Consider the following 15,538-nt stretch of genomic DNA (forward strand, 5'->3'; position numbering starts at 1 on the left):
CTGCCTCCCAGGTTCAAACGATTCTCCTGCCTCAACCTCCCAAGTAGCTGGGATTACAGATGTCCACCACCAAGCCCAGTTAATTTTTTTTTTGTATTTTTAGTAAAAACAGAGTTTCACCATGTTGGCCAAGCTGGTCTCGAACTCCTGACCTCAGGTGATCTGCCTGCCTCAGCCTCCCAGAGTACTGGGATTATAGGTGGGAGCCACTGCACCTGGCCTACATTATTTCTTTTAAATTTTTCTCGTATTGCCTTCTTCTGGAAATATTAGACATTTAGAACTTATGACTCTGTGTTCATACTTAAATTTACTTTTCCACATTTTTTATTTTGCCCCGTTACACTACATTCTGGGAAATTTCCTCCACTTGATCTTCCAGAATGAACTCACTTTTTCTTTTCTTTTTTTTTTTTTTGAGACAGAGTCTCGCCCTGTCTGCCAGGCTGGAGTGCAGTGGCCCGATCTCGGCTCACTACAACCTCTGCCTCCTGGGTTCAAGCGATTCTCCTGCCTCAGCCTCCCGAGTAGCTGGGACTACAGGCGTCTGCCACCTTGCCTGGCTGATTTTTGTATTTTTAGTAGAAACAGGGTTTCACCATATTGGCCAGGCTGGTCTTGAACTCCCGACCTTGTGATCCGCCCACCTCAGCCTCCCAAAGTGCTGGGATTACAGGCGTGAGCCACCGCGCCCAGCTGAATGAACTCACTTTTTCTATTTATTAAGTTTTACCAGCTAACATTTCTAGTTGATTTTCATGAGTACAATATCCCTCATCCCTCTCCCTCTTACATCTCACATGTACTCTAAAATTCGATCTTGCTTGTTCTATTGTTTCTTGAAGTTTATTGTTAATTGAGTTTAATGGCCCTGTTTATTCACAGTTCTTTGTTTTATTGCATTTATTAATAGTATCCCTCTTTCACTTCATTCGTTTTTTTCAAATACCTAGCTTTGTGCTCACCTCTGTAACTGAAATCCTGCTAGATTATTGTTAAAAACTGCATCTGCTTGGCACAGCCTGTTTCTGGGAGAAAATCTGGCAATATGCTTATAGGTAACCTATATTAAGTAGTAAACAAGAACAGAATACAGAGTAAGACACACTGCTGAAAAAAACACTAGGAGAGCCAGTTTTCAGGGTGGTAAATACTCTCTACTACTCTTTTGTCTTGCTATGAACGAGGACCATGATGCTTTTCAAAGAACTCAAAGCTAATTACTATTATCATCATCTGTAAACAGACATTTCTGACACTCCCTTCCTGGTCCAAGGCATTTCCTGTGACTAGCAATTCTACTCCTAGACTTACATCCTAATGAAACTTTTGCACATGTACACAGAGAAATGCACACACAAAGGTTCCTAACAGTATTGTTTATAATACTAAGAGCCGGGTGCAGTGGCTCATGCCTGTAATCCCAGCACTTTGGGAGGCCGAGGTGGATGGATCACCTGAGGTCAGGAGTTTGAGACCAGCCTGGCCAACATGGTGAAACCCCATCTCTATTAAAAATACAAAACATTAGCTGGGTGTTGTGGCAGGCACCTGTAATCCCAGCTACTTGTGAGGCTGAAGCAGGAGAATCACTTGAATGTGGGAGGTGGAGGTTGCAGTGAGCCGAGATCGCACCATTGCACTCCAGCCTGGGCAACAAGACTGAAACTACATTTCCAATAAAAAAGTTAAGAAACTGGGCATAGCTACTAGCCAACAACAGCAGGCGGATACATAAATTGTGTGGTACATTAATATAATGGAACATTATATCACAGTAATAGAACTATTGCTACTGCTATCAACATTAAAAACAGAATGCTTAATAAACAGTCAAAGAAAAATACATTTAAAGGAGAACAGGCAAAAACCAAAATCACATTATCTTAACAGTACATTCCTAAGTATTAAAAACTATGACTGAACAGGGAATAATGTCAAATTCCAGAACAAGGTTACCCTCTAAGAAAAATGAAGGGGAACGGTAGCACCTGAGGCCTTTGAGGGATCAATAACACTAATTTTCACCTAGGTGGTGGGTGTATGTATTTGTTAGCCCTTTTTTTTTTTTTTTTTTTAATTTGAGACAGAGTCTCACCCTGTCCCCCAGGCTGGAGTGCAGTGGCGCGATCTCAGGTTTTGCCATTTTGCCCAGGCTGGTCTCGAACTCTTGACTTCAGGTGATCCGCCTGCCTCGGCCTCCCAAAGCGCTGGGATTACACGTTGTCAGCCACCGCACCCGGCCTTGCTAGCCTTTTTTTGTTTTTTGTTTTAAGATGGAGTTTCGCTTTTGTTGCCTAGGCTGGAGTGCAATGCACACCCGGCTAATTTTGTATTTTTGGTAGAGACAGGGTTTCACCATGTTGGTCAGGCTGGTCTCGAACTCCTGATCTCAGGTGATCCATCCACCTCGGCCTCCCAAAGTGCTGGGATTACAGGTGCGAGCCACTGCGCCCGGCCTGCCTTTTAACTGTACATTTGTTTTATTCATCATAAAATAGGAAGACTACAGCAGGTACTCAGGCCTTAACTTTGCAATAACTATACTTTCTCATGCTTATTATATTTAATAGCTATAAAATACTTTATCTGCTAGCCATATACTATCTTACCTAAAAACATTCCCATGTAATTGGTTAATAAGGTACTGGGTAATGTAAAAGTCTTAATGTCTCAACAGAATAGAGCTCAGAGACAGGTTTATGTTCTTTCAGCTGGAACACAGAATGCTGGTTTTAAGATCCCTTCTGCATTAGCCCGCTCAGGCTGCCATAACAAAACATTGCAGACTGGGTGGCTTAAACAGATACTTAATTTCTCAAAGTTTTAAAGCCTAGAAGTTTGAAATCAAGGTACCAACATAGTCGGTTTTTGGAGAGGGATCTTTTCCCTGGCTCTTGCAGACAACTACATCTCACTGTCTCCTCATATGGTGGAGGATGAGTTCCCCGACATCTCTTTTTGAGACAGAGTCTTGCTCTGTCTCCAGGCTGGAGTGCAGTGGTGCGGTCTTGGCTCACTGCAACCTCCGCCTCCTGGGTTCAAGCAATTCCCCTGCCTCAGATTCGCCCGTCTCAGCCTCCCGAGTAGCTGGGACTACAGGTGCGCACCACCACAGCTGGCTAATTTTTTGCATCTTAGTAGAGACGAGGCTTCACCATGTTGGCCAGGATGGTCTCCTGACCTCGTGATCCGCCAACCTTGGCCTCCCAAAGTACTGGGATAACAGGCGTGAGCCACCCCGGCGCATTGCTTCTTAAAGGACATTAATCCTGCTGGGTAAGGGTCCTAACCTTATGACCTCATTTAACGTTAATTACACTTCCTTAGAGGTCACATCTCCAAATACAACCACACTGAGGGTTACAGGAAGGTTACAGCTTCAACACATTAATTGGGGAGGAGGGGTTACAAACATTTGGTCTGCAACACCTTCCTAACTCAAGATCATTGATATTCCTTCAACATCCTGGATATGCACCTCACAATGCACTCACTATTTCCCTGGGATATGAAATACATGACCTCTGGCAACAAATAATGAGGAAGAAACTCAGGAAGAAATGCACTCCTCTAGGATGAAAAGACAAGGGCCAAATCCCATTGCCTAAAAGTTGAACTAAACTTGTCATCTTTTCATACCACGGGCTCCACAGTTGTTTTTTGTTTTGTTTTTTAAATACAGTGTCTCATTCTGTCACCAACGCTAGAGTGCAGTGGAACAATCATAGCTAAGGTTCATTGCAGCCTTACACTCTTGGGCTCAAGCAATCCTCCTGTCTCAGTTTCATCTTGGACTACAGATGTGCGCCAACATCCTCAGCTAATTTTTTGTTTTTTTGAGAGAGACAGGGTCTTGCTATGTTGCCCAGGCTGGTCTCGAACTCCTGGCCTCAAGTGATCCTCCCACTTTGGCTTCCCAAAATGTTGCGATTATAGGCATGAGCTACTACTGTGCCAAGTCTCCATGGGTTTATAAGAAACATAATTAAGCTCCTAATTGCCTTTGAGGATACAGAAGGAAAAGGAATGGAGTAGAAAAGGAGTAGCTCATTTCTAAGACTTCCATATATCCTTACAGTTATGAACTACAAAATGCATCTTCTAATAGTCAAGATCGCAGGCTAGTCCACAACAATCTGTACCTTAAGTAGCTAATTTCATATATAATGGCATCGACTGATTTTAGCCTCTTTCCATTTCTTCATCTGTCAATGATAAGCTAAATAAACTCTTCTAACCTACTGGAAATCTAGGCAACTTTCTTTTTCGTGAGTGAATGTACGTGTATATGTGGTGATGTGTTTATGAAATGCCTACAGAAAAAATGTTTTCTGATGTTAAATATACTCACAAATCTACCAATGGAAGAAAACTTAAGAAATAAATTGTAATCAACTAACCTTCTTCTGTTGCGTGCAGGTGTGTTGCATCGTTCCCCTGAGAAGTGATGTTGGCTTGGTCGAACTGAAGGGGGCTGCCTATTTGATGTCATCTCCCATGGTCGCATTGGTGGTGAGGGAGCTGGTGATGCTGATGTATAATCAAAGACTGAATGAGAGAGGCGCTGTCTCTTAGGACTTGGACTATCTTCACTCTGCCAATGCAACAAAATGGATCAACTGAGTAAGATCTTTTAAAGATTTCACATTACTGCATATGCACAGGTGTTAGGATGTACTTAACCTAAAATCTAAAAATGTAAAGCGGGGAAAAAAATATATGCTATCAATTCAAATTTAAAACCTTTAAAAAATGCTGGGATGGGGTAGAACAGGGGAGGGAGATGCACAGTAAATGATACGAAGTGAAAAATAAGCTTTGTTTTTAAAAACTCATTCTAAGGCAAATGAGGTAACGACATATAGGGTATAAAACAGCATAATAAAACTTTCGTGTAGTACTCGACCTTCTCTTTAAATTCCCAAACCACCTGAAAAATTACACTACACTACAATCTCCCATCAATAAGACATCAATTCTCAGCTGTGAGTTCAGCTTAGTAGGAGATATAATTTGAGTAGGCCCTCAATTTGATTCTAAATCACACTCCTCTCCCTCCTTCTATCTGTTTAGGCCACTATATTTATTTTTTTTAAAGAGAGTTACATGGGGCCGGGCACAGTGGCTCACACCTGTAATCCCAGCACTTTGGGAGGCAGAGGCGGGTGGATCACTGGAGGTCAGGAGTTCGAGACCGGCCTGGCCAACATGGTGAAATCCCGTCTCTACTAAAAACACAAAAATTAGCTGGGCGTGGTGGCACATGCCTGTAATCCCAGCTACTTGGGAGGTTGAGGCAGGAGAATCGCTTGAACCCAAGAGGCGGAGGTTGTTGTGAGCTGAGATCACGCCATGGCACCCCAGCCTCGGCGACAAGAGTGAGACTCTGTCTCAAAAAAAAAAAAAAAAAAAAAGTTACATGGATAAAATAAGATTTATGTTAGACAGATAAAGAAATAGCAGATTTACATGATCAGTTCTTAACTAGAATATCACAGCAGTTTGGAAGTACTTTTAAAGTTTTCAAGGGTCCCACATGGACTTACTAGCTACAAAACTGATATGGATCACTTAATTGCATTAATAACACTCCAGGGTTCTCCACCTGACTCAATTTCCCAAATCAGTCTACCCAAAAATATCAAAGTTACAAATTGACTGAAAATTTGATAAGGCTGTGTGTTTTCTAATAGAACGTCTATCTCCAATCTATTACTGCAAGTTCTAATTAGTTGGGCATTACAGTACTTTTGGTTGCAAAATAATTAGTACCTGCAGCTACCATAAAAATCATCTTATACCACTGCAAAAATATACAGGATTATAAATTAGTGTTAGATTTTAAATAAGCATATAAATCAGAACTGATTATTTAAGCTGAAAGGAATGAAGCAAATTGGTAAATGGCTACATTTGATCTTTCCAAATTACTTAGCAGTATTCCAAAAACCATGTCATTTCCCTTCTATATTTAGGAGATATTATAATCAATTTTATTATCATTATAATTAAAATACAAAACACAAAAGCATTTTGTTCTAACTTTCCTACCACCATACTAACCTTATTTTCTCCCTAGATTTAACTGTACAGTCGTCCCTCAGTATTCTAGGGAGTTGGTTCCAGAGACCACTCCCCCATACCAAAATCTTAAGACGCTCAGGTTCCTGATATAAAATGGTGTCGTATTTGCATATAACGTACACACATCCTCCCATATACTTTAAATCTCTAGATTACTTAATAATATCAACACAATACAATATAAATGTTTTATAAATAGCTGTTATACTGTATTTTAAAATTTGTATTATTCTGTATTGTTGTATTGTTACTTTTATTTCATTTTTTCTGACTATTTCCCATCCGTGGTTGGTTCAATCTTTGGGTAAGGAACCACCAACTAATCTAGTAAAAGTACAGTTATTTTCATCCTTTAATTTTAGTGAGAAAGTTAGTTATGTTCTGATAATCCTAAAACTTAAAAAAAAAGGTAAATAACCACTGAAATTTAAATATTCTGATTTTTTTTAAAAGGTAGAACAATCAAGACCTGACAAACTTGCACATGAACTACATGAGCACCAGAAACAGGCTGGCTGCACAACTGGTGAAACAGATTTGATTAACACTGACTTTTTTTTTTTTTTTTTTTTTTTGTGAGACGGAGTCTTGCTCTGTTGCCCAGGCTGGAGTTCAGTGACGCCATCTTGGCTCACCGCAACCTCCGCCTCCTGGGTTCAAGTGGTTCTCCTCCCTCAGCCACCCGAGTAGGTGGGACCACAGGCATATGCCACCATGCCCAGCTAATTTTTTGTATTTTTAGTAGAGACGGGGTTTCACCTTGTTAGCTAGGATGGTCTTGATCTCCTGACCTCATGATCTGCCCATCTCGGCCTCCCAAACTGCTGGGTTTACAGGTGTGAGTTACCATGCCCAGCTTAACACTGACTTTTTAAAAACAAAATGCTAGTAACGAATCATGATCATTAGCTTTTCATACATACCCCACATTGTATATCCTACTCTGAATAAGCCTAATGTAAGCTAAGACACAGAACTTTGAATTCTAAAAATTCACTACCTAAAATGGAGGCGAATGCTACAGATACTCACGATAAAGGTCAAATGACCAGAGAAAGCCCTTAGTTTATAAACCTTTATATATTTTCAGTGATGTTCAAATTGTGGGCTAAAAATGTTCTTACTTTACAAGACATGCAAAGCTTTTAAAAGTAGAGGTAAGGAAAGTGGCTGCGAAAAGTAAAGTTACCATCACTTCTCTTTGTGCTATGATGGTGACAAAGAAGAGACAAAGAATGGGAAGTGAAGGGAGCTATTCATTAGAGTACTTACTACTTTTCTTTTTCCTTTTTTTTTTTTTGAGACGGAGTTTCACTCTTGTTGCCCAGGCTGGAGTGCAGTGGCCTCATCTCGGCTCACCGCAACCTCTGCCTCCTGGGTTCAAGTGATTCTCCTGCCTCAGTCTCCCGAGTAGCTGGGATTACAGGCATGCACCACCATGCCTGGCTAATTTCATATTTTTAGTAGAGATGGGGTTTCTCTGTGTTGGTCAGGATGGTCTCGAACTCTCGACCTCAGGTGATCCGACCGCCTTGGCCTCCCAAAGTGTTGGGATTACAGGCGTGAGCCACTGCGCTGGGCCAATAAGTTTACTTTCTAACTCAAAGTCACAGGAAACTACAATGACTAAATACAGGCAAACATTAAAAAGTAGTTTGCTACATGCAATATGATTTCATCACTTCCCTTATCAATTTTAGTACTCTAAGGAACTTCAAAGAAATTCTCACAGTTTCCAGAAAAGGGAAGGGGTAGTAACCTACAAAGAAATAAGAATTATATTAACATCAGACTTCCTATAGCAGAAACAGATGCTAAAAGTTCTCTGAGGGAAATGAATATTGAACCCAAATTTTGTACTCCAATCACACTATTAATCTAGTGTGGAAGCATAAAAAAAATGACCTTTGTCAGATATATCAAGACCCAAAGGTGCTCCTTACATAGCAGAAAATCACTTGATGTGTGCTCACAACCTTCCCTATCTCTCTGATTTGAAGCTATTACACAATATCCAATAAATGACAGAAGTAACCCAGAGAGTACAATGAAATGAAATTCCAGGAATGGTAGTATAGGAAGTGTGGAAATTCATCATTCCACATTAGAACAAGAAGTCAGAGGGCTCCGAGAAAAATGCCCTAAATAGAATCAAAATATATGACTGAGAACTTGGAAGTTATTAATAAAATTTAAGCAGACAGCTCTGTCATTATATAAAAGACAATCAGTCCAGGAAAGTCAATGAGGAATGCAAATTCATCTGACCTTGTCATCTAAAGCATTCTTTGAGTGGAATGGGTAGTCAGAAGATTACATTCACTTTTCCATGGGCCACACATGCTCTTGGTTCTGCAATGACTAAATATATGGATGTTCCTAACATGATGCAAAGTGTTTACTAGTTTCTGATAGTTAAAATCAACCTAGGACAAGGCATGAAAGATCACTACTGTAGTTACAGAACAGAATGGAAGTATAAACTCTATTAATGTAAACTCTAAATGTTTATGATAAAATCACGGACATTTAGTGAAAATCAAAATACAAAAATCTAAAAATAATGGCTTAAATATAACATACTTTTTTGCTTGTTTTTTGAGATGGAGCTTTGCTTTTGTTGCCCAGGTAGAGTGCAATGGCAGGATCTCGGCTCACTGCAACCTCCGCCTCCTGGGTTCAAGCGATTCTCCTGCTTCAGCCTCCCGAGTAGCTGGGATTACAGGCATGCGCCACCACACCCTGCTAATTTTGTATTTTTAAGTAGAGATGGGGTTTCTCCACGTTGGTCAGGCTGGTCTCGAACTCCTGACCTCAGGTGATCTGCCCGCCTTGGCCTCCCAAAGTGCTGGGATTACAGGCGTGAGCCACTGCGCCCGGCCTGTTTTTTTTTTAAAGACAGTCTCACTCTGTCATTGAGGCTGGAGTGCAGTGGCACGATCTCAGCTCACTGCAACCTCCACATCCCGGGCTAAAGAGATGCTCTCACCTAAGTCTCCCAAGTAGCTGGGACTACAGGTGCACACCACCATGACCAGCTAATTAAAAAAAAATTTTGGAGATACAAGGTCTCACTATATTGCCCAGTTTGGTCTCAAACTCCTGGGCTCAAGCAATCCTTCCACCTCGGCCTCCCACAGTGCTGGGATTACAGGTGTTGAGTCATTACGCCTGGCTAACAAACATGCTTTTAAAATGCAGTGCTAAATGCAGGGGAAAAAAGGGAAATCATCAAGGACTCAGAAACTGAGGAAAACTGAAGACCAAATTTGTATTTTTGATGCTCTCAAGAGGAATAGAAGATAAGGCCTTATGACTGAGACCCCTACATGAAGTAGTCAAAATTTCCAAAGTAGTACACTTAAAAAGGAAGACAAGAAAAAGTCATTCCAGTGGAAAAGAGAAGGAAACGTCAATAAGGAAATGTCTGCTCTGTGTTGACTTCGAGTGGAAGTGGGTTTCTCCCGTGAGAATTCAAACTTAGGTTCACTCCTCACACCCTATTTGGGGTTCAGATTTTCACGATCCATGCTGTCTGTGAACCTCTAAACATAAAAACATAAAAACTCATCCAGAACTACGCTACTACAAGGTCTCTTTACATGAGTAAATACAAAACTGAATCTGGAAGGATATTCCCACTGCTTTTGTAAACTAAAAATAAAATCCCCCCCAAATGACTGAACTGACTCTCTCTTGACTACAGAGACCCCAGAGAAACTAGAAAAATTGAGTTCTTGGCCTGGACAGGAAGGAAGACTAGATACACCTCATTTTATCTCTCCATCCCCTGCTTCTGGAGTTTAGGCAAAACTGACCAGCATTAATGTTAAAATAGAAATTATAGGACCTAACAGAATGGACTTTTTGTGACAATAAGATACCAAATTATAAACAGGACCTAAGGCCAAGCCAGACAAGGGTTAACTCACACACCCCTACAGGTCACTCTAACCCAGTGTATTGGTTAACAGACTTTCTTATAAGATTCCCTTCTGCTGAATCCAAATTTTTAGACAAAGCTTTACTCTATAAACCAACTGCAAATTACAGAATCTCATCTCTGAATCCACCTAAAATCTTTAAGTCCTCACTTCAAGATATTCTGTGTCTTTTCGGTTTGAAACAATGTATACTTTCCATGTATTGATTTATGACTTTGTAACTCCTGCCTCCCTAAAACTGTAATTCGACTGTAGTGGGTACATTTCCTTGGGACCTCCTGAGACTGTTTCCCAGACCATGGTCACTCATATTGTCTCAGAATAAACCTCTTTAAAATGTTTTCACAGAGTTGGGTCTTTCCATTAATACCTATGCCAGTAGTTCTCAAACCTTCATGCTTCAGAAACACCAGATTGCTTGCTGGCCTCACTCCCCCGTCTCTAATTCAGAAAGTCTGGACCAGAGGTCCATGAACTGTCATCTCTACTATTATCCCAGGTGATGATGCTTGGATAATTTAGATTTTGAATTATCAGGCAGAGAAGTTCTTTCCCTCCTCTCCTTGTTGATTCTAGGCCAGTGGACCAACTTTTCAAAGTACCAAGTGTTGACAATTTAAAATTCATAAGATGTTGATTCAAATCTGGTACAAGTACTGTCTCTATTATTTAATAATATAGAACGTTGTACAGACATTACAGTATAGAACACTGCTACAGATTTAGGGATCAAGGGAGGTCAAAGAGGTCATAATGGGAGGAAGGAAGGAAAGGCAGGTTTTATGCTTAGCATTAAATCTGATAAAAATGAGTCTAGGAGTACACCTCTATTAACACCAAACCATTTTTATTACCAAAACATCAACAGAAGTGAAATGAACCTGAGGCAGGCATAAGAATGCATTCCATAATTCCAGATGAACAAGTCAGAAGTCATTAAAGGCTAAAGAAAAACAATTTTATATGTAATATATATCTTGGGTTTATATATATATCAGCAAGTCTTAGAGATAATAGGAGATGCTGAGCCAGACAAACTTTTCCCAAAACAGAAACAGGTTTCAAGTTCTACTCAGTGACTACAACATGCCTCTAATGGCAACCACTAGTGAGCCCTAAGGACTTCCTTCCCAAAGCAGCAAAGAGGCAACTTGTGTGGGGAAATGGAATTTCTCAAGAACCTGGTCCTCTTTCTAATCAGTCAGGACTACTCTTCACCTTAGATTTACAAATAAGCACAGCATGAGTTAAGAATCTTCAATTCTCCTTTAAACTCCCAGACTTTCTCTACTTGCCTTAATTACCTTTAACAAAAATGAAGTTTCTTATTCCACAATTAAGGAAAAACAGTTAAATGCAAAGGGCCCAGGAAGAGCAAACTCTCACTAAATTTTATTCATTTTAAATAAATGTGAAAACACTTAGAAATCAACACTCTATATAAGCAACTTGTTACTAAAAAATAAGACAAGATCCTTTTTTGTTTTGCAGAAGATGGATATAAGCTGGGGAAAGCAGAAAATTAAGAATTTTATATTTGGATCACACAATAGTTTACAAAATGACTTCTAACATTACCTCATTTTATTCTCCACAAGCTGAGGTTTTCATTTTTAAACTATGTCCAGATAATACGTAAAATGTGGTTTTTTGGTTGCTGAGACAGAGTCTCGCTCTGCTGCCAGGCTGGAGTGCAGTGGCGCGATCTCAGCTCACTGCAACCTCCGCCTCCTGGGTTTAGGCGATTCTCCTGCCTCAGTCTACCAAGTAGCTGGGACTACAGGCGCGCACCAGCCAATTTTTGTATTTTTAGTAGAGATGTATTTCACCATGTTGGCCAAGACAGTCTTTATTTCTTGACCTCATGATCCGCCCACTTCAGCCTCCCAAAGTGCTGGGATTATAAGCATGAGCCACCACGGCCGGCCTAAATGTGTTTCTATTAGTGAAACTGAAACTTTTTAAGGCAGTTCAGTGAACATGCTGCCCTTGAACTACATAATGTACACAGTCTCATTTCACATAGGACTTTCATTTGATGTATAATTCTTATACTCCTCAGATCACAATTTTGCAATGAAATTCTGTCTCTCAACCAGACAACTAATATATTCTCCTGAAATGTTATTTTACTTGCAGATATAGAAGAGGCTCTGAATGTTGTTTTCAAAAGTTACCATGTTGTTTTCAAAAGTTACCATAAACATGCAGAAACAAAAAAATTTTGCTCTTTGATACGTGCCAAGTTTTTTTTTTTTTAAACCGAAGCCCAAAGAAAATAACAGTTTGATATGCAGTGGCTGCTCAGAAAGGCACTCTAGTAGTATAACGTATTGCAATCACACCATGATGAATAGTAAAATACGGTATTTTCCTATCATTGGCTATAACTGCTAGTCCACCAAAACACAGGAACTATAAATAAAGTGGTTTCCTAAGTCTAAGGAGGCCTGCATGGCTAGTATTTGAGTAACAGACTAGTGATGTTATATACTATATTTTTCACAGTTCCTAATTACACAAAACATCACTGGTTCACAAAAACTAATTTAGCTTGATGCTACAATTGTAAGTATCACTATATTTCTACCAGAATACTAGATTCTACTCATGTATCTGTAACTATAATAATTTTAAGCTATAATTATAGATAAGAGACTAAAACAAAAAATCTAAAGTATAAACATGAAACCAGTGAAAATAGGAAAGATACTAAAACAACCTGAAATCAAGAGATCCTTTGAGAGATACCCCGCCTGGAGGTGTTCTGTAAACAGCTGAAGCTCAGAGGGTAGGAATATAAATTTAGGAGTGTTGATATACAGATCATCATTCATGAAGCTGCAGACATAGACAAAATTGCCCCTCAAAAGTTTATGTAATGAAAACAAGGCCCAATACGGAAACCTAAGAAACACCAACATTTAATGCTGGGTACTTGATTAGCAGGAGGGTGGAGTGTGATGGAAGCCAGGCGAAGGAGGTTTCAAGGATGCAGGATGAAGGGCTGAAAAATATCCACCAGATGTATTAGGTGAGTGCAAAAATAACTGCAGTTTATGCAGTGTTGGAATTTGCCGTTTGGTATTGGAATACGTTCTTAAATAAATGTGGTTATGTTATATATCATTTTAATGGGAATTTCTCACTTTATGTTCTTTGTTAATGACTTATTACTTGCTATTTATGTTTATTTTAGGCTAAGGAAATGATGTTAGACAAAAAGCAAATTCAAGCAATTTTCTTATTTTAGTTCAAGGTGGGTCATAAAGCAGCAGAGACAACTTGCAACATCAACAATGCATTTGGCCCAGGAACTGCTAACGAATATACAGTGCAGTGGTGGTTCAAGAAGTTCTGCAAGGGAGGCGAGAGCCTTGAAGATGAGGAGCATGGCTGGCCATCAGAAGTTGACAATGACCAATTGAGAGCAATCATCGAGCTGATCCTCTTACAACTACATGCGAAGTTGCCGAAGAACTCAACATGAATTGTTCTATGCTATGGTAGGTTGGCATTTGAAGCAAATTGGAAAAGTGAAAAAGCTCGGTTAAGTGGGTGCCTCATGAGCTAACCGAAAATTTAAAAAAAAAAAATCGTTTTGAAGTATCATCTTCTCTTATTCTACACAAGAACAAGGAACCATTTCTTGATCAGATTTTGTTATGAGAGGAAAAGTGGATTTTATACAACAACCGATAACCAGCTCAGTGGGTGGACCAAGAAGTAGCTCCAAAGCACTTCCCAAAGCCAAACTTGCACCAAAAAGAGGTCACAGTCACTGTTTGGTGGTCTGCTGCTGGTCTGATCCACTACAGCTTTTTTTTTTTTTTTTGGAGACAGTTTCGCTCTTGTCATCCAGGCTGGAGTGCAATGGCGCGATCTCGGCTCACAGTAACCTCCGCCTCCCGGATTCAAGTGATTCTCCTGCCTCAGCCTCCCGAGTAGCAGGGATTACAGGCATGTGCCACCACATCCGGATAATTTTTGTATTTTTAGTAGAGATGGGGTTTCACCATGTTGGCCAGGCTAGTCTTGAACTCCTGACCTCAGGTGATCCACCCGCCTCAGCCTCCCAAAGTGCTGGGATTACAGGCATGAGCCACCGTGCCCAGCCACTACAGCTTTCTGAATCCCTGCAAAACCATTACATCTGAGAAGTATGCTCAGCAAATTGATGAGGTGCACCGAAAACTACAATGCCTGCAGCCAGCACTGGTCAACAGAAAGGGCCCAGTTCTTCTCGTTGAATTCTTGGCACGTCGCACAACCAACGCTTCAAAAATTGAACAAATTGGGTTACAAAGTTTTGCCTCATCTGCCATATTTACCTGACCTCTCGCTGACCGACTACCACTTCTTCAAGCATCTCGACAACCAACTTTTTTGCTGGGAAAAGCCTTCTACAACCAGCAGGATGCAGAAAATACTTTCCAAGAGTACGTCCAATCCCGAAGCAGTGATTTTTATGCTACCAGAATAAACAAACTTATTTATCGTTGGTAAAAATGTGTTGATTGTAATGGTTCCCATTTTGAGTAATAAAGATGTGTTTGGGCCTAACTACGATGATTTAAAATTCACGGTCTGAAACCAGAATTACTTTTGCACCAACCTAATACCAACACAGAGGTCTCTGACAGAGCTATTTCTTTCTAATAGGATTTGCTATCTCTTATGGCATATTTCTCCCCTTATGACAATTTTTGGAAAAGTTTTTCCCCCTTTTCTTCAATAATCTTCCATATGAATTTAAAAACAATTCTGAAAGCTCTAAAAACAAAATTCTGCTGATATTTTGGCTAGAAATTTCATTAAGTCTACAAATTTGCTAGAATATAGATATTTTCACAATAATTTTCTCTTTCAGAAACCTGGCATATTTCTCTATGTGTATAGCTTTTCAAATTTTCATTCACCTAATTTAACTTTAGTAAATTTGTTAGAGGCGTTTGAACCAGAGTGCCTCCATACTAAACAGTGGCTTGGTAAAATAAGACTGAGACCTGCTGGGCTGCATTCCCATCACGTTAGGCATTCTGAGTCACAGGATGAGATAGGAGGTCAGCACAAGATACAAGACCTTCCTGATATTAACAGGTTGCAGTAAAGAAGCCGGCTAAAACCCACTAAAACCAAGATGGTGATGACAATGACCTCTGGTCATCCTCACTGCTACACTCCCACCAGCACCATGACAGTTTACAAATGTCATGGCAATGTCAGGAAGTTACCCAATATGGTCTATTTTTATTTTTTGAGAGGTAGTCTTGCTCTGTTGCCCAGGCTGGAGTGCAGTGGCACAATCTCAGCTCACTGCAACCTCTGCCTCCCGGATTCAAGCGATTCTTGTGTCTCAGCCTCTTGAGTAGCTGGGACCACAGGTGCGCACCACCACGCCTGGTTAATTTTTGTATTTTTAGTAGAGACGGGGTTTCCCCATGTTGGCCAGGCTGATCTCGAACTCCTGACCTCAAGTGATCCACCTGCTTCGGCCTCCCAAATTG

At 40.3% G+C, this 15,538-nt stretch overlaps 1 protein-coding gene across 26 annotated transcripts in view; it reads right to left on the reverse strand.

Moving 5' to 3' along the window:
- RNF38 (ring finger protein 38) overlaps nucleotides 1-15,538 on the reverse strand; it is a 151,270-nt gene that overhangs the window by 35,131 nt on the left and 100,601 nt on the right. For 23 of the 26 annotated variants that reach the window (XM_047422796.1, XM_047422795.1, XM_047422794.1 and 20 more), the window contains one exon: nucleotides 4,404-4,597. The exons of the other annotated variants lie outside the window; for them this stretch is intronic. In XM_047422796.1, the coding sequence (XP_047278752.1) occupies nucleotides 4,404-4,597 (194 nt within the window). The remainder of the gene's footprint in view (nucleotides 1-4,403; nucleotides 4,598-15,538) is intronic. 26 annotated transcript variants of the gene reach the window in all.

Source organism: Homo sapiens, chromosome 9 (assembly GCF_000001405.40).
Source record: "Homo sapiens chromosome 9, GRCh38.p14 Primary Assembly".
NCBI classification, from domain to species: Eukaryota; Metazoa; Chordata; class Mammalia; order Primates; family Hominidae; genus Homo; species Homo sapiens.